Here is a 6,880-nt window from a genome sequence, read left to right on the forward strand (position 1 = left end):
GTTAATGATGCTTTGCATATATGAACTCAACTACATTTTTTTTGCAATTATATTTGCAACACAAGAAAATTGTGGCTAAAGACTGAAGAATAGCTTTGTGTTCTAACGGAAGGCTCTTCTAACATTGCTAATGAATTTTTTACCCTTGAAAACCTTCATGTCACATCCTGTCATCATCACCAATATCATTCTCATCCTCATGGTTGTCTCCGTCCACATTCCATGTAGTATATTGGTTCTAATATAGAACTACTGTTAAAATCAACAAATTAAGTGCAGCTTAATATGAAATGTTAAAACATAATTAAGAAGGTAAGTTTCATACATGTAATGGTTATAAGTCTCTTTGTGGCAACAGAAACCTAACTTTTAGTGGTTTAAGCAAAACAAGGAGAATAATTGGCTCATGAATATTGAGGATCCAAGAGTATAGTTGCCTGTAGGCCCTGCTAAATCTAAGAGTTAAAAAATGAGGTTTGGGCTGTTTCTCTCTTTTGCTATCAGTCAGCTCTGTTTCCTTCTTTGGGTATCAGCTTTATTTACCTGAATTCTCTGGTCATATCTTTCTATGTTGCGGGAAAGAGCCACCAGAAGCCCATACGATTATAGCTCTTGATCCAAAAGACAGACTAGAGCTCTAGCGCTTTTGCCTATGTCAGCTCTTCCTTGGGCTAATCTCTTTGCCAGGGGTCTGAGATACTAATTAACTTTGTCTTGTGTGCATTTTTTTTGTTTGGCAATTGAGCCAACATCTATGATTGACAACATTACAGAGAGTATGACTTAGGGAACATTGGTTCTTCAAATAAAATTTGGTTGAAAATAAAAACAGCGTCCAGATAGCAGACTCTACATTTGTACAGTGTCTACTATATGTATGCAGTTATTTGTAACTAATTTACATATTTCCCTCAAAAGTGTTTGAAGAACCTGGGAATAAAGGAATGAAGATAAATAAGTTCAGGTAAAGAAATCAGCCTAAAGTATAAGGTGAGACTGAGCTTATTTGCAGAAAATCAGAGTAACAACCATGAAAACTGAAAGGATGAAGCAAATCTATTTACAGTTCCACCTGTTGAATCAAGACTACTAACTGTTAAGGAAGAGGTATTACCAAATTAACTTGAATCACTCAAGTAGTTAAACATTACATGTTCTGTCCTTAAAGTCAACAAACTCATTCTCTTTATCTAACTCTCCATATTTCCCCTACTCTGCCTCAATTATTTTCTTCAAACATACGTGAATGCTGGTGTTGAAATATCTTTTATAGAAACTAGTTTGTGGTCTGGTGTAAACCACAGGGCAGAAAATCCAAATGGTTATGTGTTAGTATCACAGTTAAGATTGCAATACTATTACAACTTTGCTGTTCTACTAGTAGTCAACCAATTGCTGCACAATTAATTTCCTCCTAGATGATGAGGATGGTAGCTGTGCTTTGTGGTGATAAAGATCCAGATGCTTGTGAAGTATGCAAAGCCAAGTAAATGAAAATAATTCTGGGTTCAGTCAGTCTCATTTAAAAAAATAAGCTTTAAAAGCTCTATTACTTAAACATGTTGCCATTGTTAATGCTATTATGTCCTTTTCAGAAATGCTTTTGCTCCTAATTTGAAACAAGTGCTTCCTTTAGGGATAATTAAGCAGATGAATGGCACTTTTGAGGACCACATAGTTAAAGTGTTCAGTCTTTAGCAAAGCCAGGGATGCTGGGTATGATACCTCAGAATTTGTACTCCAGAAATAACAACTCTCTTTACTCTGGGAAGACACTGATTGGTTGAGAGATGAAAACAACTTCATTAATGTTTGAGGCTCGTTTTATTTTAGCATTTACCCCTTTCCTACCCCTCTCTACTCTGAAGTTAGACTTGTTCAAGTTGTAGAGGGCGTTTGTTATTAGATCACCAGCATTCCTCATTTTCCTCCCAAATAGCAATTTGTTTCGCCATTAAGAAGTATACCCTATTTGCAGCGATGTAGTTGGGTGAGATTGATTGCACTCTGCACTTCAGGGATGGGTCCCAATTCTCTTAAGACAATCCAAGTGTCCCGGGGCCATTGTAATTAGGCCAGGGACGGACACATGACCTAGATGGGTTTAAAGGGCTAGGAAGAGTCCTAGTGTATTTAAGGACTAAAAATCTGAGGAAGAAAGTGAAAAATTACCCATAACCCACCAACCCAAACATATTTATCATTCCAATATTGATGAGATGTTAGGAGGTTTTTTTGGGTTTTTTTTCCAGATGAATTAGAAATAATGTTAGGAAATTATTGCTATTCTCTTGGGATAAAGCAGGACTTCCTAAGTATTTCACCCAAGCTAGAAACTATAATGAAAAATATCAATCTCACCTCATAAAAGTTTACACCTTTTATATAGAAAAATAGACAAATAAGAAAAGACATATGCAACAGTGTGTTAAAGAATTAATGCTTTTAATGCTACTAACGTGAACAGCTTTTACAAATTAGTAATTAAAAGTTGAATACCCCATAAAAATAAGCACAAACATTAAATAGGCAATTCACATGAGAAGATTAGATAGATAGATGATAGACAGATAGATAGACAGATCTATTGATCTTTGGTGTGTGTGTGTGTGTGTGTGTGTGCGTGCATATACACCAAATAACCAGCCTTATTCCGACTAGCTTTGGGACTTTGAGACTTTGAGCAATTGACTTTACCTCTCTACTAAAATTGTAGTTTTATCATTGTTTAAAACAGGATAATGATAACTAGTTAAAACAGGTATAATGCTACTTCACAGCATTCTTACACACTCAAAACATATAAAATTGTATGTGCTTGAAGAAAGATTGTGATCATTTATGAATATGAGGAATTGGATTTAGTAAATGGCCTCCAGATTTATTCAGATAATTGCCTTATCTTGCTCATTTAGTTTGCTTGTGGAAGAGGAAGAAAAAACAGCCCTTGTGATTCAGAAAGTTCAAACACAACATTAAATTGCTAAGATAATTGCTAATTGGCGAGCTTACATCACAGCATCCCATTCGGATCAATAAATTCAATGACCAAAATAATGTAACTACAACTAAAACAAGAAGTTTGCCATAAAAGTTATTCATATATTGCTACAATGTGCTCATGGCTAAGGCTAGGGAGGAAAATTATTACAATTATCAGGTGTTTATTCTGTTAGATAATGTATTTTGAATAACGTGCAAGTGTTATTTTACTTAATTTTCACAATGGCTCTATAAGGGTATTATAAAACCTGTGTTTTTGAAAACTAGGGTTCCAAGAAATTAGGTACCTTGCTCATTTATTAAGGAGCAGAGCCAAAAATGTGACTTTAGGACAAATTCATATGCTCATGTCACACATTTTTTAAATGCGTCTTTTATAGTCAGTTAGCCACTTTGAGTTTTTTAGAAATTCCAGAAGAGTGTGAGGATCATATACACTGCCTTTTTCTTTTCTATCTCTACTTTTAAGTATATACTAGTGTTCCAAACCCTATTTCAGAATGGATATTGAGCCAATATTTGAGAAGCCAATGAGTCCCAAGCATTGCATTTGATGTGATGATTTTTAAAAATGAGGTTAGGCAGAGTTTCTGCCCACAGGAGCATATTATTTCTTTTTAGTCAGTTCGTAACACATGCTGCTTTTTTGTAGGTACTCATTGAATGCATCAACATTTTTAGTTGCCTTATTAGGCTTTCTAAAAGTCAAGGCTTTGAAATTTAACTCTTAGATTGAAATCCTCATTTCTTTAACTTGCTAATGGTACAACTTCTGTGTTTTCTCAGCCTCAAATTGGGAATAATAAATATCATTTGATACCAGTGGCATTTGAATTATTTAAGATCCCTTATATTAATTAATGCAACTTATCAGAGTGCCTGGAACACAGCAAACACTCACCAAATGATACATTTTATAACAGTCTTTATGGCTGATTCCCGTATTGAAGTCTCAAGTTTCCACATTTGAATGAAAAACCTCAGCCTGCTTTGGTCTCATAGAAAGTGATGATAAATAGAACCAACGTTGTTCAATAAAGGAAAAGATAATGAATTTTAGTTTGAGGACACTGGTATCTTTCCAAATTTTTGGTTTTCATGACATTTCCACAAAGAAGGTTAAGATATTCAACGGAGATCCATCACAGACTTAGAAATCCTTAGGAATTCCTGCTGGGGCTAAAGTGCCCATGAACTTCATCTCAGGGCAAAGTATGCAGCAGCAACAGCCTCAGCTGGAATAATCCTATATTCTCTATGGCTCACTATATTTAACATTACCTACATTTTTATTTTCATATCAAGTCCTTTGACCCAGAGGATTCTATCAAGGATAGAATAGCATCACATTGCATCTCTTCCCAAAATGAAAATATCATTGATTATTACATCAATGTGACATTGCCTAGATTAGAATATTTCAAATACACACACATTTACATAAGGTTAAGAAAACCATTTTCCATGAGGCATAAAGTTTTCCATCCACCTCTTTTATGTGTTTCTTTTGTCGAAGGGTGATGCCCCTTAACAGAAGAAATCTAGTGTGCAAGTTGAATGTGACAGTCCAGCAGTTAGAGTCCTTAGTGTGGGCTTTAGATCTGGCTGGACAGAAGCTCTATTGTGCCTAACAGGACATTGGGAAACTCTTCATTTTCTATAATTCATTTCATTTTGTGCATTTTCTATTTATTTTCACTACTCTATAAACCCTTTAAACTTCTGGCAGTATTCACCAGTATTTTAAAAATTATTTTGTCTTGTTTGTGTGGGTGGTAAATTTTCCCTTTAAATTAATCTTTTCAGGATTTTGGTTTAGATATCTGATATTTTTCTTCCAGGTTGTTTTTCTTCCATATAGGAGCTGTTTCTATATATGTCCATTGAGACTCCTGGGAAACAAATCCGGAGACAAAGTTAAGAGTGAAAAAAAATGTATTGGGAAGAAAGGTCTGTGAAAGAAAAGGGGAAAATACAGAATTGGGAAGGGAGACATGTCAGACTACAATATTGATCTTACAAATTCTCTAGCAGTGCAATGAGGTGCCTCAGAGCAAAGATTACCCATTAGAAGATTCCTGTGTTGGCAGAAATGGCTCAGCCCTTGTATCAAAGCCTTTCCAGTCACCGACTTGAGCCAAACATGGTCAAAAAACTGAGGCCACCTCCAAGGAGCTAGTAGCTGGAGGCTTTCCGCTGGCCAGAGTCCTGGAGCTGAGCAGCAAGGCCTTTCTTGAAGTGGGATCTGAGTATACATTATTGGGTGTGTCAAGTGGGTTCTACCCTAGAAGTACAATGCAAAAGCTAATTGTTTTTCCTTAAAGTTGGAGACTTGGAAGACATGATGAAATATATGAAAACGTGTGACTCTGTTCCTGTTCTAAAATACCTGTATAGCTGCAACATCCTGTGTGCCTAATTTTGAGATTTGGAGGAAAAGACTGATAGCCACCAGCAGCTTGCTAGTCTTCTGGAAGTACCTCTGGCATAAGAAAAACCGTTGAATTTTCCTTTTAACCTTCAATCCTAAAAGCCAAGTGGAAGAAAAAATGAGTACATCTTATTGTTCCAAATGAGCTCACCAGAAAATTATTTCCATAGTTCATTAAGAGTTCAGTGCAGAGTAATATGCATATAATGCCAAAGATACTGAAACTACTACCATTGGCCGTGCATTTCAGAAACTAGTTAGCCACACTAACCCAATCAAGAATTTCTGTTGAACAGGAATTGGATGCAAAAAAGCCCCTTCATACTGTTTCAAATAATAAATGTACATGTTTCCATGAATGCTTATAACCTGTGATATTTCCCTCAATATGTGTTTTTCCCCATTGTAATCCCTTGCCCTAAATAAGAAGTCAGTTCTGTGTGTGCTTATTACTCAGTGGATTACACTATGGGCTCAGTGTTCGGTGACTTCGGGTAGTATTTTACAATTTCCAACTATATTTTCTGCTTTATAAATGTCTCCTAGAATATTTCATTAGGCAAATTAGGCTGACTCCCTGACTGATCCTTTGTAATTTGTAACGTTTTATTGCTTAACTATAGACATAATTAGGGATGCCTAAAATTCTGACTTTGAACTAAGAGCAGTTTCAGGCATAATGTCGTTACCTCTTGGGCCATCTTCTTCTTTTCTCTAGATTGGAAAGGGCTCGACTAAGACCCTTGGAAAAATATGTGCTTCCGTAGAAAAGCCCTTTTCCACCCAAGGGCCTCATTCTTCATCTGTAAAATGATGGAGTTAGACTAAGGGACCTTTAATGTCTCATTTACATCTGTGTCCATGTGTTTTAGAGGAAATGACTTTCCTCTCTGAAGACTAATAAGAAAGAATGACTGGTCTGATTCTACTAGACTTACTCACACTCACAGGAACAGGCAGAATATGATACAAGGCTCTGGGAGGGAAAAGAGAGCACCCTCATCTCCAGAGGCCTCAGGAGAGTTTGGCATGTGACGCATACAATCGAGCCCGGAATTAATAGTACTTACTCCTCACTTAGTGCTTATAATGTGCCCATAACTACAACCAGTGTTTTATATTTATTACATTTATGACAGCCTCAGGAAAATGTTATCATTGCCTGTATTTTATAGATAATAGGAATGAGTCTTACAAAGAATAAGCAACATGGCAATTGTCATTGGGCTTTTAAGGAGTTGACATGGATACAGACAGATTCTATCCATCTCAATAATCATGCTATTCTGTCTGGTCATTTTATCATTTCATTCATTCAATACCTAAGTATTCAGAGCTTGCTTCTTACTGGGATTGATCAAAGAGAGAGTGAGTATTTGGTGAGAGGGGGTCTGCACTGGGGATAAAAAGTTTCTCTGTACCCCTAATGCATTGGCTGTTTTGTCT

The 6,880-nt window shown here is 36.1% G+C and overlaps 1 annotated feature.

Annotated features, from left to right (window-relative positions):
- Positions 4,648-5,847: an enhancer, noted in NCBI's record as "CDK7 strongly-dependent group 2 enhancer chr5:144157357-144158556 (GRCh37/hg19 assembly coordinates)". NCBI's record gives its function as "activates an origin of replication core promoter dependent on BRD2, BRD4, P300/CBP, MED14 and CDK7 cofactors, with strong dependence on CDK7, by STARR-seq in HCT116 cells {active_cell/tissue: HCT116}" and the evidence as "EXISTENCE:reporter gene assay evidence [ECO:0000049][PMID:35650434]".

This window comes from Homo sapiens, chromosome 5 (genome assembly GCF_000001405.40).
Source record: "Homo sapiens chromosome 5, GRCh38.p14 Primary Assembly".
Taxonomy (NCBI): Eukaryota; Metazoa; Chordata; class Mammalia; order Primates; family Hominidae; genus Homo; species Homo sapiens.